Source organism: Homo sapiens, chromosome 15 (assembly GCF_000001405.40).
Source record: "Homo sapiens chromosome 15, GRCh38.p14 Primary Assembly".
Lineage (NCBI taxonomy): Eukaryota > Metazoa > Chordata > Mammalia > Primates > Hominidae > Homo > Homo sapiens.
In genome coordinates, this window is record NC_000015.10 from 75,832,810 (window position 1) to 75,859,253 (window position 26,444).

General features: G+C 41.6%; 1 protein-coding gene across 15 annotated transcripts in view, besides 6 other annotated features; it reads left to right on the top strand.

The window, feature by feature from the left end:
* Nucleotides 10,219–10,398: a silencer, noted in NCBI's record as "silent region_6682". NCBI's record gives its function as "represses an Ori minimal core promoter by ATAC-STARR-seq in GM12878 lymphoblastoid cells {active_cell/tissue: GM12878}" and the evidence as "EXISTENCE:reporter gene assay evidence [ECO:0000049][PMID:35858748]".
* Nucleotides 10,439–10,578: a silencer, noted in NCBI's record as "silent region_6683". NCBI's record gives its function as "represses an Ori minimal core promoter by ATAC-STARR-seq in GM12878 lymphoblastoid cells {active_cell/tissue: GM12878}" and the evidence as "EXISTENCE:reporter gene assay evidence [ECO:0000049][PMID:35858748]".
* The window catches only part of UBE2Q2 (ubiquitin conjugating enzyme E2 Q2), a 57,632-nt gene continuing 41,825 nt past the window's right edge, over nt 10,638–26,444 (top strand). For 11 of the 15 annotated variants that reach the window (NM_173469.4, XM_005254787.3, XM_005254788.3 and 8 more), the window contains exons 1-2: nt 10,638–11,037; nt 21,577–21,678. In NM_173469.4, coding sequence (NP_775740.1) covers nt 10,858–11,037; nt 21,577–21,678 — 282 coding nt within the window. In that variant the 5' untranslated portion in view covers nt 10,638–10,857. 15 annotated transcript variants of the gene reach the window in all.
* Nucleotides 10,719–10,798: a silencer, noted in NCBI's record as "silent region_6684". NCBI's record gives its function as "represses an Ori minimal core promoter by ATAC-STARR-seq in GM12878 lymphoblastoid cells {active_cell/tissue: GM12878}" and the evidence as "EXISTENCE:reporter gene assay evidence [ECO:0000049][PMID:35858748]".
* Nucleotides 10,719–11,617: a biological region, named in NCBI's record as "NANOG-H3K27ac-H3K4me1 hESC enhancer GRCh37_chr15:76135870-76136767".
* Nucleotides 10,720–11,617: an enhancer, noted in NCBI's record as "NANOG-H3K27ac-H3K4me1 hESC enhancer chr15:76135870-76136767 (GRCh37/hg19 assembly coordinates)". NCBI's record gives its function as "activates a minimal SCP1, AML or CMV promoter by ChIP-STARR-seq in naive H9 embryonic stem cells {active_cell/tissue: H9 hESC(naive)}" and the evidence as "EXISTENCE:reporter gene assay evidence [ECO:0000049][PMID:30033119]".
* Nucleotides 11,049–11,448: a silencer, noted in NCBI's record as "silent region_6685". NCBI's record gives its function as "represses an Ori minimal core promoter by ATAC-STARR-seq in GM12878 lymphoblastoid cells {active_cell/tissue: GM12878}" and the evidence as "EXISTENCE:reporter gene assay evidence [ECO:0000049][PMID:35858748]".

A 26,444-nucleotide genomic window follows, 5' to 3' on the forward strand; every position in this document is an offset into this window, starting at 1 on the left:
TGGTAAACTGTTTGGCTTCCCTATCTCATATTCCCAATCCTCTATGAGTGTTTCCTGGGGTCCCCTCCAAAATAAATTATTTGCACTAGAATGTGTATCTCAGCATTTACTTTTAGGAGAACCCAAACTAAGGCTACCTCTGGGCTTCCTGGAAATCTAGAGGGAAACTAAATAACATAACTGTTATATTTAGAAAGTAGAAAATAAATCAGTTCTTCAATTGAGGCAAAGTATTTCTGCCTCCCCTGCCCTTCCACTCTCCATTCCAAAACTGGACGGGCCCGCGGTGTGGCTCACACCTGTAATCCCAGCACTTTGGGAGGCTGAGGTGGGCAGATCACCTGAGGTCAGGAGTTTGAGACCAGCCTGGCCAACACGGTGAAACCTCGTCTCTACTAAAAATACAAAAATTAGCCAGGCGTGATGGCAGGCGCCTGTGATCCCAGCTACTCAGGAGGCTGAGGCAGGAGAATCGCTTGAATCCGGGAGGCGGAGGTTGTAGTGAGCCCAGATTGTGCCACTCAAGCCTGGATGACAAAGCGAGACTCCATCTCAAAAAAAAAAAAAAAAAAAAAAAAAAAAGGGAGGGGGGCGGGGGGCAGCAGAAAAAAACGTATTACTTATCCTCCAGTTCTCACATTGATCTTTTTGGTGTTCATGTTTGTTCTGCCCTTAGGCCTATAAGCTTCTTGATCTTTATTGTCTCTAGAGCTATGTGCAACTGCCTTTCACATTGTTGAAACTAAGCAAGTGTTTGAATGATACAAATGTGAACCCTGTCTATCCAACACACCTCTTGACACACAAAGAAACCAAGGCTCCGTTAGAGTGTGTTACTGGACACCTGTTATATGGGGAGTGACCAAAGGAGCCAGAATCCACCCCCAGTCCCCCAACCACTTCTCTGATTTTCTACCACAAACAGTCTTTTTCCAGGTTTTATTTTCATCATCACTAAGTGGAGCCCAAGGTTTTTAGCAGGAGAAGCATGTTTGTAAATGTTAAAAACACCCCTTCTTGAGTGAGCCAGGTTATCTTCCCCTTGGTCCATTAGGTCTGAAGGACTGGGCTTGTTACACTTAATTTTTTATATCTTGCAAGATGAGACCTAAATGTAACAAGGGAGATGACTATAGATTCTAGGCCCATTGGCTAGTCAAAGTTCTATAGTGCATTAATGATTACGGTAAACTCCAAACATGAAATCAAGACTGAATTTCCATAAATTCCTCCCGCACATAGCACCACCTTGAAGCCCTGGAGTATGAGCAGGAGGAGGTCTTGATTAACACTGCAGTGGCTCTGCAGAGAATGACCACAGGCTAAATGAAAGACCAACAAATAAACCAGAGGAGGAAACCCTATGTAAGACCTTGTAACCTAAACCCAAAGCCCTCGCTCAGCTTGGTCTAGGGAGCAGGAATTCTCCTAATGGAAAATAAAACATCAAAAGTGTCAGTTAAATTGGCTGTTTGTCATGGTCCCTGAAGTTTAAGTGTTTGTAATTCAACCTTGAGCAGCATCTGTTTCAGGTGTCTTTTTGTGGTAGAAAAAACAACAGCCACATATTTACTGGGCCTTTAAAATTTCTTTGCAAAATTCCTCTCTGATTTACCTCTCTCTATCTTAAATGTCTATAAACCAATTTAAAATCATATATTTATGTTAATTACATAAATAACCCAATACAAATATTTCAAAAAATATAAAGAAGCAGATAGAAAATTGAGATCACCTAAGAAGTCACTACCAAGAAATGACCACTGTTAACATTTTGGTGTATCCTTCCAGATATACACACAACCTCATTTAATGACTGTATTATATTTCATTGTGTGGTTGTATTAAAATGTATGGTACATCCAATTCTAAGACTCTGAGTCCTTTCTTTTACTATGATAAAAATAGCTGGGGCCGGGCGTGGTGGCTCACGCCTGTAATCCCAACACTTTGGGAGGCCGAGGTGGAAGGATCACAAGGTCAGGAGATCAAGACCATCCTGGCAAACATGGTGAAACCCCGTCACTACTAAAAATACAAAAATTAGCTGGGTGTGGTTGTGCGCACCTGTAATCCCAGCTACTCAAGAGGCTGAGGCAGGAGAATGGCTTGAACGCAGGAGGCAGAGATTGCAGTGAGCCGAGATTGCACCACTGCACTCCAGCCTGGCAACAGAGTGAGACCCCATCTCAAAAAAAAAAAAAAAAAAAAAAGCTGAAATAAATATTTCAAGAAAAGATTTGTGGTTTTATTTCATCCATAAATATCTCTAAAAGATAAGGACTCTCGTTTTTAAAATATGATAGTAATAACAACCTGGGCATGATAGCTCACTTGAGCATTTTGGGAGGCTGAGGCAGGAAGATTGCTTGATCCCAGGTGTGTGAGACCAGCCTGGGCAACATAGTGAGACCCTGTCTCTGCCAAAAAAATATTAGCTGGGCATGGTGACATATGCCTATAGTTCCAGCTACTTGGGAGGCTGAGGTGGGAGGATCAATTGAGCCTGGGAGGTTGAGGCTACATTGAACCATGATCACACTATAGCACTCCAGCCTGGGTGACAAAGTGAGACTCTATCTCCAAAAAAAAAAAAAAAAAAAAGTAATAGCCATACTATTGTCACATCTAAAAAAATTTAACAACAATTCCATATTATCATCAAACATTTAATGTTCAAATTTTCCAGTTGCCTCATAGCTATTTACTCTTGCCCTCACTCTGGTAACTAAATCTTGATGTGCACGCTTAATTAGTTCTCTAGGACGCATGCTTAGATTTGAAGTCACTGGGTAAAAGGTATATTATACTTAGATCTAGAAAGATCTAGATGTTCTCACTTGTACCTCTTAAACACTTGTATACTTGTTTGTAGCCTTAAACATTCCAGAAGAATGTTTTGTATAAATGTGACTGGAAGGATGAGGAGAAAATCTTTCATTTGAGGCTTTCATATGCTGATGACTGAGAGGATGTAATGCTCTGAAAGGTTCCTAGCAATTTACCACAGTAGACGCCAGGCTGATACCCCCAGCCCCCATCATCAGCATCACTGGAGTCAGGAGGGCTTCCCACTCTGGAGGAGCATCCTTCCTTCTCAGTGGCCCAGGTGATCTTCCTGAAAGTGCTGATGTCTCTCACTCAACAATCAAGACTCTATCTGTAGAAACATGGCTCTTCCCAAGAGGAAGATAAATATTCCAATCCAGTGAAGTTCCTATGCCACCCTGCCCACTCAATGCTAATTTATTTGCTATTTTATATTTATCTATAATATTTACATTAAAAATTGTAATTTATATAGAAGCAGCACTGGTGGAAACAGACAGACCTGGGTTAAAACTTTGGCTTTATCAGTTATTTATTGCATAATCTAAAGCAAATTACTTCCCTTTTCTGAAACTCAGTTATTTAGGGGCATAATGATGGTTTCCTAGGTTGCTACAAAGAAGTAGTAGTTTAGGACATAGCAGGTGTTCAACAAATATGTGTTGAACAAACAAATATTTTTAAAGAGAATTTTTTTTTTTGAGCCAGAAGAAATCTCAGAACACACCCTCTGTATTCTGGAAATGAGAAAACTAAGTTCAGAGAAAATGTGAAATTTTTTTGTTCATTCATTTAACATTTATTATGAACTGAGTATGTGTCAGGCAAGTATGTGCTGAGCACTGAGGATATAATTAGTAACATCTCGTCACTGCTCTCAAGGGGTAAGGAAGGATGGACATGGCTATATCAAGCTCTATGTGATATTATTATAAAATGATAGAATTATCTAGTGTTGTGCTATCCAATATGGTAGGCAGCAGTCACACGTGGCTACTTAAATTTAAATTAATTACAATTAAATAAAATCAAAATTCAGTTCCTCAGTGCTTGCTTAGACAGCACATATACAAAATTCAGTTCCTTAGTCACACTAACCACTTTTCAAGTGCTCAGTAACCACCTGAGGCTAGTGGCTACCATATTGTGGCAGGCATAGAACCTTTCCATCATTGCAGAAAGTTCTATTGGACAGTGGTGCTTTAGATCTTCTCCCCAGAATAACATTCATATGCATATATCCCAAATTCATACCACTTCAAGGTGTTTACATCTTGGTCTGAAAGCCCTTTATAATACAGGCAAGAGAGAAATGATGAGTGTTGCTAACTAAAACTAAAATCAAAGATAGGAGTTTTGTTATAAGCCAGAGTCCAAACTTGTGAAAATTGTAGCTTAGAAAAACTTTCTGGCTGAGTTGGCTGCAGTTGAATAATGAGTCACTTGTTCATTTCAACAGGGATGGGCTCAGTTTCCTGTGCCTCCTGGGTAGTGCTGTGGTTGTCTGGGCCTAGTGGCCACATGCTGATGTGTGCTCACTTTAGACAGGGAGAGGTCCTCACCACTTCCCTGACATTTTAGTCAAACTAGATCACTTCTCTCACAATTTACTTGCAGTCTTTCTAAGTAAGGATGTTACATGGGTTTCACCTTCAGTAGGCTATATTCACGTAACGATCATTTAGTGGGTGCTTTCTATGTCCCAGGAACCAGGCTATGTGCTACAGACATGAAGAGGATTAGGACAAGTTGTTCATAATCTCGCAGAGGAGACAAATGAGAAACCAGCTAGTCATAACAAAGGCAGAGTTAAATAAGTGCTGTAATAGACAAGGTACTGGGAAATTCAGGAAAAGGAGGGACTAAAATTCAATATAGGGGACTAGGGAAGGCTCACTGAAGGAGATGGCATTTGAACACGGCCTTAAAGAATATGTTAGACCAGAATAGCATGGAACATATAATTGGGCATTCTTCCACATTCATGTTCTTTTTTTAAAAAAATCTTTTATTTAAGGTTCAGGAGTACATGTGAAGGTGTGTTACATAGGTAAACTCATGTCATAGGGTTTATTGTACAGATTATTTCATCACCCAGGTATTAAACCCAGTACCTAATAGTTATATTTTTGGCTCCTCTTTCTCCTCCCACCCTTCACTCTCAAGTAGACCCCAGTGTCTTTTGTTCCCTTCTTTGTGTCCATGTGTTCTTATCATTTAGCTCCCACTTATAAGTGGGAACATGCGGTATTTGGTTTTCTGTTCCTGCATTAGTTTGCTAAGGATAATGGCCTCCAGCTCCATCCATGTTCCTGCAAAAGACATGATCTTGTTCTTTGTTTATGGCTGCATGCATTCAAGTTCTTGAAGTCTGAAATTCTTCCACTGTGCAGGCTGTGGCAGCTCTCATATTTCCTTTCACACTGAACCTGCTCTGTCTTCCTGGAGACTTCCAGCCTCCCAACCCATCCTAGTCTCACGGTCCTTTATGCACTTCTAGATGAGACTCCAAGATCAGAGTTTTCAAGCAGATTTTTTTTTTTTTAGTACTTCTTTGTCCTCTGGCTTCTGTTTTTATCTATCGTACTAATCCCCAATCTTGTTTTGCTGAAATTCATGTTATCCATTCAGTATGAGGTCTCTCAACAACTCTCTAGTCTAACTCAACATTTCTTTGTGTCTTCCCCAATTCTCTCCCCCAACCCTATCCTCTATGGAGGGGGCATTCCTTTCTATGAGTAACTCTTTATCCCATGTTTTCTCTTCCCTTCCAGGACCCAGTAGCATGCTTTTTCTCCTCTCTCGTATCCAGTCTTCATTGCCTGTTAATGGTTCTCTCCTTAGAGGTAGATCCAGGGTTTTCAGGGCCTAAAGCTTATTTAATCTTGGGAGTCTTCTTCTTCTTCAAAAAAAAATACAAAATTACAAATATCAAATTAAGGGGGAAAAGTTAATACTTACTTAGAAGGGGGCTGTGTAACTGCGAGGGGCCCTGAAGCTTATTTCATAGTGAGTCCATCTCTGTCTGTCCTATAATAAAAACCTAACCAAACACAAAAGCTTCCCTTTGCTTTGCTATTGCAAACCATTATTCCATTTCTCTTTCTCAACACCCTGAAACTTTTCAAGAAAGTAGACTAGGTACATTCTCTTCACTTTAACATCACTTTGACCTCATGCCCACCATGCTATTGCAATGGTTTTCTCTGAAGCACCACTGACCTTCTAATCCCTAAAGCCTATGGCCTTTTCTTGGTCCTGAACTAACTTGTCCCTTCCATAAAAATTCAACATGAGTCATCCTCTGACTTCTTCAAATGACTCTTTTCCCACTCAAGCACCAATGGTGAGCCTTCCTCAGGGTCCCTTCAACATCCCAGGTTGTCTTCCCTCCCTTGTGACTCAATGATCACACCTATGGCATGGCTTCCACCATCACCCACCTGTGTGGCTGACCCAATTATGTGTCCTTTGCTCTGACTTCCCTCATAAACTTCAAACTTAAGATACAAACTCTCTACCTACGTTCCATCAGCACACCAAATTCAACATCTTTTTCTTGATGTGTCAATGGCATCACTCCCTCCCTGCCATCTGCTCTAGAAATTTCAAAGTGTTACTTTAAACAAATTTCCCCTCTCTCCTTCTATCCTCCCGTCATTTCTAAGATCTAGCAGTTCTACTCCACACTGATTCCCTAGTGTGGTTCTTTCTACTGCCATTTCCCGTACTTCAATTTTTTTCACTCTTGACTCAGACTGATTCAAAGGCTCTTCATTGTTTGCAGCTAAGGAGCCTCAGAGCTGAGTATGACTTGCCCCATTGAATTAATGGCAGGCCAGATGTAGAATCCAGGTCTCTTGCTTCTTTTCGGTGGCTGCATACTTCTAAGCCCACTATAATCCATTTTATATATGAATGCCAGATTAATCTTTCTTTTTTTGTTTTTTTTTTTGTTTTTGTTTTGTTTTGAAACAGGGTCTCACTCTGGTTGCCCAGGTTGGAGTGCAGTGGTGCAATCTTGACTCACTGCAGCCTCGACCCCCTGGGCTCCGGTGATTCTCCCACCTCACCCCCCGAGTAGCTGGACTACAGGCACGTGCCACCATGCCTTGTTAATTTTTTGTATTTTTAGTAGAGATGGGTTTTCGCCATGTTGGCCAGGCTGGTCTCGAACTCCTGGACTCAAGCAATCCGTCTGCCTCAGCCTCCCAGAGTGCTGGGATTACAGGTATGAGCCACTGTACCTGGCCCAGATTAATCTTAAAAGTGATTACTCCAGTGAAACCCTGTCTCTACTAAAAATACAAAAAATTAGCTGGGCGTGGTGGCGGGCACCTGTAGTCCCAGCTACTTGGGAGGTTGAGGCAGGAGAACGGCATGAACCCGGGAGGCAGAGCTTGCAGTGAGCCAAGATCGTGCTACTGCACTCCAGCCTGGGCGACAGAGCGAGAATCCATCTCAAAAAAAAAAAAAAGAAAAAAAAAGTGATGACTTTTGTCCAGGCGCGGTGGCTCACGCCTGTAATCCCAGAATTTTGGGAGGCCAAAGCGGGCAGATCATGAGGTCAGGAGATCGAGACCATCCTGGCTAACATAGTGAAACGCTGTCTCTAGTGAAAATACAAAAATTAGCTGGACACGGTGGTGCATGCCTGTAGTCCCAGCTACTCGGGAAGCTGAGGCAGGAGAATCACTTGAACCCAGGAGGCAGAGGCTACAGTGAGCTGAGATTGTGCCACTGCACTCCAGCCTGGTGACAGAGCGAGACTCCATCTCGAAAAAAAAAAAAAAGTGATGCCTCTCACCAAATGAAACTATTATACTATAGTCTGTGGCATGGTATTTCAGGGCTCAAAATCTGATCAAAAGTAATATCTCAACTTTATCTTTCTCTTGGCCCCTTGCTGTACTCTACAATCAAATGGGCTCTTGAATATCCTCTGAATATGGCCCTACTTTCATGCAAATAATTCATGGAATTAGTTTCTTCCTCCCCTGAAATGTAGTTCAGTAGTTTGAACCTCATATCACATATGATCTGATGTTGTCTTTACTTGTCTGTGTAAGACTATGGTGACTCCCCAGCAACCATTCCATCCCAGCAGGTTGGAAATCCAGAGTAATCCCATCTACTTCTCTGTGATTGGTTAGGGGTGGGCATGTGACACACTTCTGGCCAAGGACACACTAAGGGAAGTCTGCTGGGAAGATTCTTGGAAAGCTTCCCATGTGTTAGAAGGAAACATAGAAGAAAATGTCCTTTCTGCCTCTGGATATTTTCATGTCTGGATGTGAACTGCAAGAACAGCTACAGCCACCTTGCTCTCAACCCAACAAAAGAGATGGAAAGAATTTGGACTTTTGATGACATGAAAGCTCAGGTCAACCAATCCTGGAGACTGTTCTGTCTTTGGACTTCCTATTATGTGAAGTAATTTATTTCCTTATTGTCCAAGGCAGATTAAATCACAGTTTTCTATTATTTGCAGCCAAAAGCATCAGGAAACAATATTTTGTTTTTGATGCTAAATGTTAAGCTTCTTAAAATCAGGGACTGTATCTATGTATCTTTCTAGCCCTCTTACAGCTTGGCATGCAGCAGATGGATGCTCAAAAAGCGACTGTGAAATTAATATTTGTATATATTTCTGGGATACAACTAGTAAAAACACTTGCAATTTAAAAAGCTCTATTTTCTCACAGCAATCTAGAGGTAACAAAATAAAGCTTAGACAGATTAAATAGCTTGTTTAGGGAATTTTGTTTCTCGAAGTCATACCAACTTCTCAAGAGTTTGTTGCTCTTTGTCTCAAATCCTTATCTGGGAATGCCATGCCTGTTAGGGTCCCAAGAAACTGGGGACTGAAGGAAAAATAAAGTGGCAAGCCACTTCTGTGCTTAACCCAGCAATAATGCTAATACAGTAGCCTAGTTGTTTCTGGCTCAGAACCCAGGCCTGGAACCCCTTCTTCTCCCAGTCCCAGTGTATAGTGTGGTAGCTCTAGTGCTGGGGTCATGAATCCCCATAAGTACAAAATTTTAGATGCAGAAGTATTTTCCTGGGAAGATGGATCATAGCTTTTATTAGATTCTCAAAGGGGTCTGTGAGAATCTTAGTCTTCTTAAAGGCTAGATAGAAGTTGGGGTAGAAGATGGTAGAAGTTGGGGCATGGCCAGGAAAAGTTAGGGCTGGTTTGAATGATAAGAGACTGAATTTGTAGGCTGTGGGGAGCTACTAACTTACTGAGGTAAATTGGAAAAGTTTATTTGTCTTCTTAAAGGCTAAGGACTATAACATGATACAAAATCTCAGAAGTAGATGGAAATAAAAACTTTCAGTAGACTTAATGTGTCCCTGTGTTGTTCTGTATTTTGTCATCTAAGGGGACCAGTAGCCCAGGGATCTCTTGTAGATTAGGAAGAAAGAGACAGGTGTCAGGGTTGGGTAACTCTAGGTAAGACTGGAAAAGGAAAATGCGGAGCCCCTTTCTGAAAAATTACGAATTTCAAAATGGCGACACCAGAATATTAAACCAAGCTCGAAGCCCTTCTAAGCTGGGAGCACTGTGCAACTACATAGGTTGGACGCATATGCAGCTGGTCCTGCCTCTTGCACTTACGATTGCACACACTATTGTCTGCCAAATTGGGATGTATTCCTTTGGACTGCTATCCAGACCTTTATTCATTTTTTGAGCACCTACAATGTGCCAGGAATTGTGCTAGTGGTGGGGATTCCAGATAAGAGCGAGCATTCAATTCAATCATATCGGGTTTCTACTATATAACAGGTCTTGTTCTAGGTCCTGGGGATACAGCTCTGAACACATTAACACGGGGCAGAGACAAGGAATAAATGGGTTAAAGATCAGATAGTGACAGGTGCCCAACAAAAACTTAGCACAGGACGATGTGACACAGGGTGACTATTTGAAATGGGTTGTGGTGGGGGGTGCCGGAGATGATATTTGAGCTATGAGTTTAGTGAAAATAGTGGGCAGCCCTAGCTCCATGGGGGTGTGGGTGGGGAGGGTTATCTTAAGCTTGGGAAACAAGGCAAAATAAGGAAAGGGGGGAGAGAGAGACTATATACGGCAGAGTGAACACAGGTGGTAGCTAAGGGAAGGGATGAAATCATGGGACACCTCCAGGCAACAGCCTCCAGGGGCTAAACCATCGTCTTGGGTAAATGGATGGTTTGAGAGCAAAGGCGGGAGCAGCGAGTCCGGTGAGAAGGTCCTCACAGGAACCCAGGCTGGTGAGAAGGTCCTCACAGGAACCCAGGCTAGCGAAGCGGTGGCTCGGACTAGGGTGAAAGTAGCGGAGGTAACGCTGGGTGAGCCGCACCCGCGTCTCCCACGAGGTCCCCCCAGTGAGGTTAGCGGGTGCCGCGCCGAGCGCCAAGCTGAGGAGCCGCCCCCAGGGGCTGGCGCTAGTCTGCAGCGGCGCCGACGTGGCCGGCGCGATCCGCCACGCACGTGTCCGGCTCCAGGCCGGGGGCGGGGGCGCGCGGGGGTCTCCGGCTCCTCCCCGACTTCTGGGGCCCGGGCGCCAGCTGGCCCCGAGCCTCCAGTCCGCGGGTGCGAAGAACGGAGCAGATGGGTCGGGAACAAGGGAGCTGGGTCAAGGCGAGGAGGGGGCGGCCGGGCGCGCGCGCTCTGGCCTCGTGCACGCGCTGAAACCGGAGCGCGCAGGGCGCGCCAGGGTGAGGGGGACGGGGGCGGGGTGGGGGCAGCCCTTTCCCAGGCGGTAGCGGGGGCGGCGTCGCTGTTGCCCTTTTAAGCCGCGGGGCCGCCGCCTCCTGCCGCTGGAGTCGGTTACAAAGGAAGCGCCACCCAGGCCGCCACACGCCGAGGCTTCCGCGCCCCTCGCCATTTTCCAGCAGCGCTCGACGAGGCGGAGCCGCGAGAGCGCGGCCCAGGCCGGCCCCGCGGGGCGGTCGCGGCCGTGACGGCGGCTCCGGGCCCGGCTCCCCTTCCGCGCCCGGCTCCCCTTCCGCGCCCCTCCCGCCGGAGATGAGGGGAAGATGTCCGTGTCAGGGCTCAAGGCCGAGCTGAAGTTCCTGGCGTCCATCTTCGACAAGAACCACGAGCGATTCCGCATCGTCAGTTGGAAGCTGGACGAGCTGCACTGCCAGTTCCTGGTGCCGCAGCAGGGCAGCCCGCACTCGCTGCCGCCGCCACTCACGCTCCACTGCAACATCACGGTGAGGCGCCCGGCCGCGGCCCCGCGGGGCAGGGCGAGGACGGAGAGGGGGCGCTTCGAGTCCCGGGACAAAGGGGAGCCTGCCCCGGAGAGGCTCCGGCTCCCCGGGCGGGGCAGGCCCGCCCCTTTCCCCCGCGACTTGCCCATCCCAGGCCGGGCTGGGACTGCGCGAGGCTTGGGTGGGAGGAGGCGGAGGGCGCGTCTTTCCGGCTTCTCGCCAGGGGCTGGCTTGGGGGCTTCTGGCCCATCTCGGTCCCCGTCTCCTAGCCCCGAGGGGGGAGTCCGCGGCGGCCCAAGCCCTTGTGGGGTCCATGGCCGCCCTCAGCCGGCCTGCTCCCGGGACCGGGGCGGGGCGGGGCGGGGCGGCGCAGCTCCGGCTGTTGTTTGAGCCCAGGCCGGCAAGGGGAACGGCCCTTAAGTTTTAACGCCTCATTTTTCAGTCGGATTTTCCTTCTTCCCGCTTGTTCAGCCAATTGTTTTTAAGTTTGCGTTTAAGGAGAAACTGACAATGAGAATGGACTCGTTGACGGAGGAAAAGTTGGAATGCAGACTCTGGTGCTGTTTGAGCGACCCCTCTCCCCCGGGCCTGGCTGCGCGCTGCTGTGTTCTGGAAAGGAGCATAGTACCGTCGTTGCGGCAGGTGGTGTTGAGTGTGTATTCGTGTGGCCCCTCCCTTGTGTGTAAGCCTCGAAAATGGATAGGTGAAAGGAGATACGCGCCAGGGCTGCTCCCCGGAAAGATCACGTATGTCACAAAGCCGAAAAGACACTTTTAAAAACTCACTCATTAAGCGGAAATCTCATTAGAAACCCAAGGCTTGGTAAAGGAATTGAAGTATTAAGTTTCTCCATAAAAGTGTATCGTGAAGCTATTCGTCGTGAAATTGATGTAGGATATTGGTCCAAACTGCAGAATATTCTCTTGGTTATAATAGGCGTCAAGGTGGTGGCTTCGGGCTCCTTTTCAAACATGGCTAAAACCAAGTCTTGTTTTTAACTCCCTTTGGTTGAGTCAGTGGGTACTCAAGTGCCTGCAGGGTGGCTGGCGTTTGCAAAAACCTTGATGTTATAATTGACCTTAAAATGGTTACCAGACTATCTGGGCAGAAGGTGTGTTAATTTCAAAAAAAAAAAGACAAGTGCTGTACTGAGGAGATAATTCATTTATTGAATGAATACGTCTGAGTGTTCTGGGCACTAGTGTTGCAGAATTGAGTGAAGTCGTCCTCGCTCTCAGAACTCAGTCTTCTTGGGGGAAGAGTTCAATAAGGTGACAGCTCCTGTGGTATCATCAGGAAAGCCAAAGCAACTAATTTTGACTTGGGGGAGGTGCGCTTCAGGGAAGGCTTTGATGAGAGGCTGAGACAGTTAGAGATGAGCTTCCACAGGTGACTACAATTTTGGAAGGCTGGCGGAAGGGCATTTTAGACTGAGGAAACTCCACCCAAAGAAGACACGGAGATTTGAGAAAGTGTGGTTTCCTTAGAAGTAGAAAATTTATGCTAAGACTTGAGAAGCCCACGATACAGGCTGGAGAAGGGGAGGATTTTCCAAGAGTGGAAAACAGAAAGTGTAGTAGTTGTCATGAAGCAGGTGTTTTAAGGAGACGGGCCTGAATGGCTTCGAGGGTGATTACTCTGGTAGAAGTTGGGGCATGGCCACGAAAAGGTAGGGCTGGTTTGAATGATAGGAGACTGAATTTGTAGGCTGTGGGGAGCTACTAAGTTTACTCAGGTAAGTTGGGAGAATGTATCTTTCATCCAGGATTAGAAATGGTTCTCTACAGTGGGTGGCATTAGGAAATGTGGTTATCCCAGTGGGGGTGGGGTGGTCTTATTGCTGTGCCGGCATTTAGTGCTAGGAGTACAGGGATACCAAATGTTTTGCAACGTTCAGGCAGTCTGCCACAGCAAAGAATTATCCCACCTAAAGTGCCACTGGTGCCCCATCGAGAACCATATTGAAGGCTGGTAAGAGTCTGCTGCAGATAAAAATAAGGAGTGATGACCTGGATTAGGCAGTGGCAACAGAAATGGAGCAAGAAGTGAATGAGACACTTTCAGTACAAGGAGGATTTAGTGAGGACTAGTGTAATGGCACCCACCGCTAGGTAGAAACTATTAAAATTGACTTGCTAGTGAAATATGACAGACTATCAGGAGATAATTATCATGGCAGCTGCTCAGTACAAATGTCTGCTAACTTTTTATTATGGAAAATCATCAAATGTACAAAAGTTGAACAGTGTAATGTAGCCAGCCTCAACAATGATAAACTTTTGGCTAATCTTCATCTGTACTCCACTTTAGATTATTTTGAAGCAGATTCCAGACAGATCACTTCATCTGTAAATATTTCTGCTTGTATCTTTTGAAGGTAAAAGACTCTTTTATTTTTTATTATTATTTTTTGAGACGGAGTCTCGCTGTGTCGTCCCAGCTGGAGTGCAGTGGTGTGACCTGGGCCCACTGCAACCTCCGCCTCCCAGGTTCAAGCAATTCTGCTGCCACCGCCTCCCGAGTAGCTGGGATTACAGGTTTCCGCCGCCACACCCGGCTAATTTTTGTGTTTTTAGTAGAGACGGGGTTTCACCATGTTGGCCAGGCTGGTCTTGAACTCCACCTCAAGCTCCCAAAGTGCTGGGATTACAGGAGTGAGCCACCGTTCCTGGCCGTAAAGACTCTTTTAAACATGGATGACTGTTTTGATAAAATGACATGGCTTGTTCATGTCGATACCATTTGCTTAGAAGGGAAAGATCAAGGGAAAAATGGGGTTGGATTTCAAATGATTTGGTTTGATCGATGATTTGTTATTCTCTAAAGTTGTAACTCTGGAAAAGGTAATGAGTTTGACTTATTCTTTAACTTTTCCTCTTTAGACAGTTCAAATATTTGAATTCTACATGCTAGGACTTGTTTTCTTTATACTTACCAAGAAACATCCTTATGCAGTTTCTCTAATGTTTGAGAAACTAAGTTGTTTTTTACACACGTGCATGCTAGTTCCTGAAGAGTCCTGTACAGGTGCTCTGCTGGCTTTTCCTTTCAGGTTTCTGTATCAGCTGTATTTCTCCCTGTAGAATGTGCCCCTGACCTCCACCCCTTAACCTTACCCCATTTGTCTTTATATGCCTGACCATCCGTCAAGGCTCTTCTGGGTCATATTTAGTTCATGCTGTTATTTCCCCTTCCTCCCTTCTTTAGTCCTTACTATTTTTGCTTTGGTCATGTTTTCTTATGCTGTATTCTGTAAGCCTTTAAATTTTTCTTTTTATGGTGGCAGGGGAGAATATTTTATAATTATGCTTTGTGCTTTTTATCTTCCACTCAATAAATGCTTCATAAATATTTGAGTATATAGCGCTATTCTAGCTGTATTGTATTTGAACAAAAATCTTAACTGCCTTGTAAGTTAACTGCTAAGAATTTGTCAAAAGTGCAGAGATAACATCAATAACTTGTCATGGATAGTACAAAAAGGTCTCTAAGGGCTTGATGGAAGTCTGTAAATTGACTTCATATGAGAGTGTAAGAAGTGAAAAAGACCAAAACAGAGTAGATGTTTTACTCTGTAGGCCAAGGGAATTGAGCTAATTCTTTTCCTGTTTTATAAATTTGTCCTGATCTTAAATAATGAAGGGAAAAGAGTGCTCTTTTTCAACCTCGAGTCCTTTTTATTCTTTTCTGTGAAGCCATGATATGAAAGATTGCCTGTTATACAAACTTAAGTATAGTTTTTCCATCTTCAGTAAACTAACCTGATTGCCGTCTAATTAGTTGTTACAATCACACCGAAATGCAAAGCAGCTTGTTTTAAGCAGCCTTATTGGGAGCTAGTATATGGCTTTAGTCGTTTTGAAGTATTTAACATAACTTGGCAACTCCATTACTCCTTTTATGGACTTTTTGGCATCTGGGCATTCTTGGTAGGAAATCACTGTTTTAGAATGAAAAATCTCCCCCAGGAAGTAAATTAGCTAGTAAACAAATGAAACTTCATTTTTTATATTACTTGTAGAGCATAAATGATTACCCTTTCTGCGTATAAGTGGCTGTTTGCTAGGCTGCTTTTAGTGGGACTTTGTTTTTGATTGGTTAATTAAATTTCTATTCATTATTGCCAAAAAGTGCCTACCCCCAACAGCAAGATACTAAATTTTAAAAATGTTGGAGCTGTGAATCTAGGAGGAAGTGAGAAGTTTAGCTTTTATTTAGTAGTTAGGAGCTTAAGTAAGTCACTTCTTTTACTGTGTTTCTGTGTACTATAGATAATATTTTTTTGCACTGCAAGAGAGCATATAGAGGAAAGCTCTTTGGCAATGATATTATGTTCTACAAATATAAAAGCGATGGTGTCATTTGTGGCTGAATAACACTTTATTTTGAAAATGCTTTATAACAGGTTTTTGTGGGAAATAAAGCAATGCTGTTAACTTCATCTTGCATTTTTCTAGTCTTTACTATGATTAAAAAGTAGTCCAGTCAAAGTTGTACAAAGGAAATAAACCTGGACTAAGGAGCCTAAGACTTTTCTCTTTGGTTTGCCCTCCTGGGACAGATTACCTTTCCAAATTGAATTCATGGAAGAGCATTTGGAAATATCAGAACTGTCATGTTAAGCACCTAAGTGGTACTTTCATTCCAGAAGAATCATTGTTTTCGTTTATCTGACCAATTTATAATATAGGGTCAAATTCCTGGTGGTTATTTATGCTCCCTCATCCCCATTTTTATACCTGTCCTTGAAAGGAACAGATATATGAAGAGAAGACTTAGGTTTCCCTTTTGTGAATAGTATATCCCTTAGTATCTTGATTTTTTTTTTTTAATTTGGTTAAACATATTTAGACCTGGAAAAGGGTAGTATTTGATAAATGTCAGCTAGTTGAGGGGTGGGGAATTGAGTTGAATGGAGATAGTCACTGCCAAATGTCAAGCATGACTGGAGAGCCAGAGTGATAAAGCAGGGGTCCCTTTTTCCAGATCCTTTGTAACAGTGTTATGTGATCTCTTCTAGAAGATTCTGAAAGATAATCCCAACTTGGAACCTAGGAAACCACCCAGTGGGTTTCTGCAGCTTAGGTGGTTCAGATCCTCATCAGCACCTTTTTCTGTGCCTCAGTTTGCTTACAATGATGTTCTCAGTAGCTGTAATTTGCTGCTTGTGTTTGAATACTTAAGCATTTTCTTTTTATCATGGGTATATGAACATTTTTATTTCAACAAGTGTTAGAATTTTTACTCTGCTTTTGTGGGCTCTAGGTTAGCTACTTGGTTGTTTATTTGTAAAATGATTAGCAGGGAACCATGTGTATGCATTTTAAGTATCTTTTGTTGTCAGAGCAGTTAGAATTTTATTAAGGTACTATATGCTAATTCTGTCAATTTACTTCGTTCTCCACCCCACATTTATTGAACAGCAAACTATGAAAGTAATGTGTCCCATAACTGGCCTTCAGAAGAATTACAACTGCTGTTATCTCTGAACCTTCCAGAAGTTTGTGCATCAGTTTTAAAAAAATGATGAAATCCCTGAAGATAGCTGTGTCCTACATTTGGAAAGATACAAAAACTGACCATTCTGGTCAACCAGTTTTGGTTGCTGGTGCTTGAGATAGAGCCACACAATGGTCTCAGTGGATTTATGGAGAAAAATAGATACAGAAAGTTACTTCTAAATAAGACAAAAAAATCTTTTTCTTGAGCAGTGACAGGTAAAGAGGTTGGTTTGGTTAATCTTGAGTTGTGTTTCCCTCCATTAAGACAGTTTTATGGTGGGGATGGTAGTGGTGATGAACTTGTTTGAAATTTGTCCACTTACAGTAATGTTTATGGTAGCTTCACAGACAACTTCATTCTCACAGGCCTTAGAATTACTATAAAACTAATAGAATGGATGAGGAACAAAGGACCTGAGTAATTAGATGCTTAGATAATTGTTCTGTGTTTTCATAACTGTGGTGAAAAAGAGTGGTGCTAGAAGCACTTAAACATTCTATGTACGGGAAAACTGCCTGAATTTGTATTGGGATTTTTGAGCACCATTCACTGTTTAAAAACTGATATACCATAGGTCATATTTATTTTAAAGAGAAATAGTAGGCAAACTTATCTTTTCAAGATAGATATAAAGCTTAGTTAACCTTATCAAAATTACAAAACTTAAAGCATGTGAAAGATTGAAAATATTAATACATAGGTTTAAATATTGGTCATTATTTTAGATGTCTTTCAAAGTAGATTCTCTCTTAAATGTTAAACTGAACAAACCTTGAACATGATGTAGAGTTTGTGCTGAAGGTTAAGTTTCCTGGCGTGGTGGATATTTTATAATATGGAAAACAAAACCTTCTTATTGTAAGACATTAAAAGAAATTTAGTCAAAACTAGGAGATATGATTCTACCACTCAGAATATACCACTATCAGAATTTTGTATCTTTCCAGTTATCTGCTCATCTCTTTTCTCCGATGCTTATGTGTGTTCCCTCTCCCTTAAAAAATCAGATTTTTTTGTAATCTGCTTTTTCACTCAACAATATTGTAGATCCGTGTTATAACTTACTCCTTACGTGTAGGCAAGATGAATTCTGACCACCCCAAGGTGGCCATCCTTGTCCCTGTGATTCCAGATCTCCCAGAACTAGAGGTCTAGCTTCAGGGAAAACCCAGATTTTCTTGGCTTAGCCCACCTGACAGCTAATCACTGGAAATGGGGTGGGCTGGTAGAGTCCTTTGGTCAGGTTTTGTGTCAAGAGAGGGAGGAGGAAAGATGGGAGGGAGGTAGCAAAACTGGTCTCAATGGAACTATGTAAGTTAATATAGAATGGCAAAGGGATGTTTCTTCCAAGGAAAGAATTCTAAGGAAGGAAGGAAAGTGGAGGGGAAGGCAGCAGTTCTCAAAGTTTTGGGGTCAGGACTCCTTTACACTCTTGAAAATATATTCAGCACTTAAGGGCTTTGGTTTATGTAAGTTACGTCTATTGGTATTTATCACTACAAGTTAAATCAGAAATATTTAAAACATTAACTCTTTAAAAACTCATCACATATTATTATAAATGTGCTTTTACGAAACAAAATTTTCTAAGCCAAAAAATAGAATAGTAGCACAGTCTTAAATTTTTTGCAAATTTCATTGATGTTTGCTCTGTCATTTGCTTTTGCATTTAATTTGTTGTATGCTATTTGCTTGAAATAATGTAAACAAAATCCAACCTTATACAGATACCTGGTTGGAAAAATTGTGAATATTTTAATGGCCATTTTAGATAATCCTGGATATTCTTCTTTTTTTTTTTTTTGAGATGGGGGTTCACTGTGTTGCCCAGGCTGGAGTGCAGTGGTGTGATCACAGCTCACTGCACCCTCAGTCTCCTGGGACTCAGGTGTAGGCCATCTTACTGGCTAATTTTTTGTATTTTTTTGTAGAGACAGGGTTTTGCCATGTTGCCTAGGCTTCTTTTTTGATGCTCTATCAAAACTTGGTCTTTCTTGAACTTTGGATCTTTTACCCTTGTATGATATTATAACATCATGCATTGGTCATTTAGAAAATAGTGGTTCACCGAGATCTTCTAAATGTTGATACATTTGATTTTACAGTATCAAAATACATTCATCAATATTGCCATCAATGTTATCAGGATATTCTTGGAAAACGGTGGTGGATACAAGTTTTCAAAAATTCTAATTTTTTGTTCAAAAACTTGCATTTTATTATTAGCAGTTTTATTATTGAAATTTATTATGGCCTGTCTGTTGTTTTCCTTGAAATGACAGAATCTCATTTTTTGAGGAAAATGACTGCCAAAAACCCAAGTTGAAATAACATCGTCAGTTATCCTTTCAAGTAAAAATGGTATTCCATTTAAGTGGTTAATTCACTTCATGACTTAGTCACACAAGGGTTTTTTCTCAGGCAGTCTGTAGGAATGCTCATGTATACTTCCCGTTTCATCACTTGAAATATTAAAAAGACATATTCAAGGATTCAGATGTAGTAAAATTTTCACTGCTTCATCATAGACATTCTTTTTATTTTTGAGACAGGGCCTTGTTCTGTCACCCAGGCTGGAGTGCAGTAGCGTGATCACAGCTCAGTGGAGACTCGACCTTCTGGGCTCAATCAATCCTTCTGCCTCAGCCTCCCTAGTAGCTGGGACTACAGGCGTGCAACCACCATGCTTAGCTAATTTTTTTATTTTTTTTTGTAGAGATGGGGTTTCACCCTGTTGGCCAGGCTGGTCTTGAACTCCTGGGCTCAAGTGATCCTCCTGCCTCGGCCTCCCAAAGTGCTGGGATTACAGGCATGAGCCACCATTCCCAGCCTTATCGTAGACATTCTTAAATGAAACTGACCTTTTGTTGCCCTTCCTTTTTAAGCCTTTCCTGTGCATAGTGAAGAATACCATGACTACTAGTAGTTTGGTGTTACCGCCTTTATTTGTGCTAAAGTGCCAGCGTTTTTACCCACCATTGTATCTGCACCCTTACAGCATATGTCAACATGTTAGTATTCTTGTAAAAATAGTTTGGACCTGGGGGTCTGAGGTCCCCACTTTGGGAACCATTGAAATAGGTACTTAGATCTACAGTGTATCATATCTTTTCATCTACAAGATTAAAAACATGATTTCAGTTAATTGTTTTTGTAATTTTCTTAATATGGTTTTGAGGGGTTTCAGTCCAGAGTGAAGACATGTATGTTTCTTGGCTTATGCTGAAGTTTACTAGACAAATACTAACCTAATAATGAGATCCTAAGTGTAGTTGCAGTTTCTTTAGCCTAAGGGAAAAGAAACCTAAAAACTAAAACAGTAAAAATGGTCCAGATGGTGTATTCCCAATGTGTGCTGAAGAATTTGAAGAAGAAAATGCAGTACTCAATAAGTGGTGTTAAGAACAGGATTAATTCTGGAGAGTTTCTCATTTAGCCTGTAAAGAGATTTGGGGCACAGTAAGAGTTAGAGGAATGAAAATAGTAAATAACCCATTATTGACCAGGTATACTATTAATGATGTCCTCCATCAATACAACTTATTCTTAAAAGAACATTTGGTAAAATGCTTTAAAAATATTCAGTTTCTGTGGCTTCAGCTATAAATCAGATTATAGTTCTCAAAGCAGTGTTTCCTAAAATCGTTTCTGTGAAATTGTTTTCCATGACTTGAACCTAGTTGTTCTGAAGCTAATATACGATAATAATGGCTTTTCCCCAATTTATAATAGAAAATCATACAAAGTAACAGAGTAAATGTCTGTTAGTGGGTGAAAGCACATAATGCTTAGTTCATTAGCTTTTTAAAGAAATCACATGTAATTGTGTTTTAAAAAAGATATGGGCCTGGCTTAGTGGCTCACGCCTGTAATCCCAGCACTTTGGGAGGCTGAGGTGGGCTGATCACGAGATCAGGAGTTCAAGACCAGCCTGGCCAGCATGGTGAAACCCCGTCTCTAATAAAAATACAAAAAATTAGCTTGGCGTGGTGGCATGTGCTTGTTATCCCAGCTACTCGGGAGGCTGAGGCAGGAGAATCGCTTGAACCTAGGAGGCGGAGGTTGCAGTGAGCCGAGATTGTGCCATGCACTCCGCCTGGGCCACAGAGCAAGACTCTGTCTCGAGGAAAAAAAGAAAAAAAAATTATATATATATATATATGTATGTATGTATGTATGTGTGTATATATATGTAGTAATGGCATTTCTTGGTAGTACTTGGTTTGTGTGATAGATTAAAACATTAGAATTTTATGGTATTTGAATTACTTTTCTATTGCTCTGTAACAAATTTATCAGCTTAAAGCAACAAACATTATCTCACCATTTCTGTGGGTCAGGATTTTGTGCAATTTACCTTGGGTTCACTGGCTTGGCCTCTCACCAGGCAGCGAAGTTGTTGGTGGCAGCTGTGATCATCCTAAGGCAGGATAGGGAGAGAATCAGTCTCCAAGCTCACTTATGTAGATGTTGGCAGGATTCATCTCACAGGCTGTGGGACTGGGCCTCCGTTTCTGGATGGCTGTTGGTCTGAGGCCTTTTATAATACCTCGCCATGTAGGTCTCTCCATAGGGCACCTCATCACATGGCAACTGGTTTCCATCAGAGGGAGCAATGGAAAGAGCAGGAGAAGGATGGGCAAGGCAGACATCATAGTCTCTTTGTAGCCTAATCTCAGAAGTGATGTTATTACTTTTGCTGTATTCTCTTTGTTAGAAGTGAGTCACTAGGTCCAGGGGCGGGAATTTTACAAGGGTGTGAATGCCAGGAGGTGATGGTGATCGGGGCCATTTTAGAGGCTGCCTACCAGTGTTGAAGAAAATCATTGACTTCTATGAGCTGTAGCAACAGACAGTGCTATGCAAGGAGAATGGTTGTCTCAAAAGTCCAGCTCCTCACAAGGTTTTTAATATGTTGCCTTTTCCCCCCATACATTTTGTTTAAATCCATGGTCATCTTGCCGTTTAGTGGTGTGGTTTAATTGCATATTTGGGTTAGTCTGTATGTAAATGTTTAACATGTGTCTCTGTGTTAAACAGGAATCCTATCCATCTTCTTCACCGATATGGTTTGTGGATTCTGAAGACCCAAATCTGACATCAGTTCTGGAACGTCTAGAAGATACTAAGAACAACAATTTGGTAAGAAAATAAGCCAAGCTATTTTCTCTTTTCCTCATGAACATTACATATAGAAATTAAATGTTAAGAGATAATATGATATAAAAGCATGATTAATGATTATAATCTTGTAGGAATTAAAGACTAGTTTGTTTGTTTTTTTTCCTTCAAATTCTATTTACTACCTGGTCTCTCTTTTATTTCCCACATGTATAACCTTAATTTAGATTACAAATTAGGGATCTCTTTTTCCCTGAATTCTAACCATTAAGCCAAACAAGCATTTTGGGTAGAGACCACTAGCCAAGGTGGGAAGCAGAAAAAAGACCAAGGTAGGAGTGAAGGGAGAGATGGGGAGAATGACACCAGAACTAGTATGAGGGAATTGCCTTTTCTTTCAAGGGTCTGTAAGTCTGCAGTAAAAGAATAGAAAGTTTTATTTTTGTTTTTAGTATATAAAGAAATATAACTTTCCATGTTGAAAAAGTTTTTAATGCTTTTTTTCTTGATTATAAAACTCATGAGCAAGCATTATTGAGAAAATTAGTAAAATATAGACAGGAAAAAAAATTAAAATCTCCCATAATTTCTCTACCTAATATAACCACTGTTGACATGATGGTTATTTTCTACCAGTATATATTTTTCCTTTGCTAGTAAAATACATATACCTTTATACATGTGTTTAAATAGTTGAGGTCATGGTCTATATAGTTTTACATCATTTTAAAAAACATTTACTGGCCAGGTGTGGTGGCTCACGCCTGTAATCTCAGCACTTTAGGAAGCTGAGGCGGGCGGATCACTTGAGGCCAGGAGTTCGAGATCAGCCTGGCCAACATGGTGAAACCCTGTCTCTGCTAAACATATAAAAATTAACTGGGCATGGTGGCGCATGCTTGTAATCCCAGCTACTTGGGAGGCTGAGGCAGGAGAATTGCTTGAATCTGGGAGACAGAGGTTGTGGTGAGCCGAGATCACGCTATTATACTCCAGCCTGGGTAACAGAGTGATACTCCATCTCAAAAAAAAAAAAAAATTACTGTATTTTCCCATGATGTCATACAGTCTTTATAGAAAAATAATCATCATTATTTTCAGCTGACATGATTGTTTACCTGAAAATATTCAGAGGAACCAACTGAAAAAAAGAGTTTTTAAGATTACTGGTTGAAAGCTCTGTTACATAAAAGTCAATAGCTTTCCACAATTTTAGCTATAATCACATTGAAGGTATAGTGATAAAGTATTTTTTTAAGTATTTCAACAAAAATTAAATACCTAAGAATCAACTTAGATGTGCACGACTTTTATCAAGAACATGACAATTTTGCTGAGTGGAAGGAAAGATTTGCATTCTGTGTTCCTGGATGAGCAGATTTCATGTTATAAATATGTCACTTATCGCCATGTCTTCATATTCGTAAATGTAATTTCTGCTGGGTGTGTAGTGGCTCATGCCTGTAATTCCAGAACTTTGGGATGTTGAAGCAGGCAGGTTGCTTGAGCTCATGAGTTTAAGACCAGCCTAGGCAACATGGTGAAACCTGTCTCTACAAAAAATACAAAAATTAGCAGGGTGTAGTGGCACACACTTGTAGTCCCAACTACTGAGGAGGCTGAGGTGGGAGGATTGCTTGAGCTTGGGAGGTGGAGATTGCAGTAAGCCTAGATTGTGCCTCTGAACTCTAGCCTAGGTGACGGAGTGAGACCCCGTCTCAAAAAAAAATGTATATATATATGTGTGTGTTTATACATGTATGTGTATATGTGTATATACGTGTGTGTGTGTGTGTGTGTGTGTATATATATATATATATATATATAATGAATTTCAGTACAAATCCCAGCAGATTTATTTTTGGAAGTTGACAAAATGACTCTAACATTTGTTTAAAAGGGTAAATGATAAAAAAATAAAGAATAGACTTGTTCAACCAGATGTTCAATAAAATGTTGTATACTAACTCTGTTCCAGACAGATAAAGGCAATGGAAATTTAGAACCAGAGTCATGCAAATGAGAATTTAGTATAAGGTAAAGGTGGTATTCTAACTTAATAAGGAAAGGCTAGATTATTCTGTAAACAGTCTTAGGAAAACTATTTGAGGAAGTTTGAGTCTCAACTCTGATTTTTGTCAAAATAAGTTATAGTTGTATAGTTGGTTTAAACACATCTATTCTTAAGAACAGAAGGCTGGGCATGATGGCTCACGCCTGTAATCCCAGAACTTTAGGAGGCCCAGGCAGGCGGATCAGTTGAGGTGGGGAGTTCAAGACCAGCCTGGCCAACATGGCGAAACCCCATCTCTACTAAAAATACAAAATTTAGCCGGGTGTGGTGGCATGTACCTGTGATCCCAGCTACTTGGAGGCTGAGGCAGGAGAAGTGCTTCAACCTGGGAGGCAGGTTGCAGTGAGCCGAGATTGTGCCACCGTACTCTAGCCTGGGCGACAGAGCAAGACTCTGTCTCCAAAAAAAAAAAAAAGATATTTTAAGAGTTAAGGCTGAGGCTTGGCACAGTGGTTCATGCCTGTAATCCCAGCACTTTGGGAGGCTGAGGTGGGAGGATTGCTTGAGCCCAGGAGTTTGAGATTAGCTTTGGCAACATAGCAAGACCCTCTTTCTCTCTCTCTCTGTACACACACATGCACACGTACGTACGTATGTTAAGGTTTGTATGGAGAGCCATGAAGGTAAGAGGTAAAAATTAAAAGCTAGATGGACACATGTTTACATCCCCAGCAAGGGGGTTGATGGGAAAGAGTGGTAGACATAGTTCTGTTACTGCTACCTCCTTTTAGGAAGTTGCTTCTGAAGATCTAAAGATAACGGTTTTGTAATAGCAAAAATGAGTTATTTTTCAGTATCTAAAATATTACATAAACATGTTCATAAGGTTAAATGAAATAGGATATAAAATTGGGCCTAGTTTTTTAAAAGTGAATATATTTACATGAAGGAGAAAACAACTCACCTCCCACTCTTGCAGCCTCTGCCAGTTTATCAAAACCTAGTTTCTTGAGAGAATAAGCTACATGTCTTCACCTTTTTTCGCTGAAGTTATTATAATCTGGATTCTGCCTTCATCATTGCACTAAAATTTATCTCCTAGTTGCCAAAACTAGCGGCTCCTCTCTTAGTCCCCAAATTGACCCCTCTGCAGTATTTTGATACTGTTGATTGTTCCCTTGTTGAAACATTCCTGCATTCTTAATGTCCACCAATAAAGAGTTGGTTAAATAAAAATCATAGTGTATAGTTTTATAATAGAATATTCTGTTGTAGGCAAAAAAAAAAAAAATGCAGCCATTTTTTCCATAAGAGCATGTGCAGATTTCTAAGATATATTAAATGAAAAAGCAAGGCATAAAATATTGTGTATAATTGGCCCCTTTAGTATATAATGTAAAAAAAATCTATATGCTTGTTTATACTTTTTTCTTTCCTGGTGGGTACAGGAAACTGTCAATAGTAGAACACAATTAAGAAAAATTGGCTTCTGTGTCAGGCTCTGTGATAATTGAGTATAAAAGACAAGGCATGTCCCTGTCCTCTGGGAACTGATAATCTAATGGAACTTCCATCTGATTACTGTCTTGTTTTGATCTTATCACCCTGCCTTGGTCTCCTCTGATCTCTTCTCCCTTGGCCTACTTCTTCTCTTCTCATTCTGTGCTTTCTCTGAGTAATATTTTACTCCCATTACTTTAGTCATGATCTCTGTTCTAGGGATTCCTAAATCTGTATTCATCTCCAGAGTTTCAAACCCATATATCTGTCTGTAAATCATATATGTTAGGGAATCTCACTTACAGTGCCATGGATATTCAAAATGATGACGTTTAAATTTGCGTTTACCCACCTCCTAGCACTCTATCAGCCCCGTGTTTTTTCTCAGTAATTCTTGTGATTGTGAGTGGGACAAAATGAAATAATCAAACTAGTCACCCATACCCAAACCTGGGAACTGTCTTAGCGTTCTTTTATATACTACTGTTCTCTGACCCCCGCCCCCCGCAAACTAGTAATTTTCTAAGACCTGTCCTTCTGAATGTCTCTTACTATTTTCCCTGTGATCTCAGTTTCTTCCTCCCATCCCTCAAATGCTTTTTTGGTGTGTGGGGGAAGGGAGGAAAATTGAAATTCGTGGAGAGTGTACTACCCTGTCTTTCTTGTTGCTTGGTATGACTCCACTACCCTGCTGCCTCTCTCCCCAGCACTCCTGGAGCCCCTTCCGTGCCAGAGGCCAGAGTGTCTAGGTCTGTGTCCGGATTGCTCTGCCTCATCTTCATTATGCACTTAGCACGCAATAGAGTGTATTGGGTGGATATCAAATCCACACTGGAGCTTGGTTTCCGTTTAAGCATGAAGATTTTTGTTGGATCGTAATTTACCGTTCAACCTTCCTCATTTTCATTTGCTCCGTTGTCCACTTTGGGAAAGCTTATTCTTTGCTTCGTTAACCCATTCTAATCCTATGTCTTCTTTCTTTGTCCTTTGTAAACCTGCTTCTTTCTCTTCATCTCTTTTCTTGGTCAGAGCCACCTAGGAAACTGTTCCTGACCGAGTTAAGTGAGTTGCCTTATTAGATCCCATTTGAGTCACGTTATACATTGAAAAACATTTTAAACAATGAACACCATACTTGTGCACATGATTTACCTTGCTTACTTGTTGAAAGCAAATATGCTTAGAAAACAATCTGGACTTAAACATGGAAATTTACAGTTATTCTTTGCAGTTTTCCTAGTGAATTATTGTTATTTTTTATACAGACACTTAA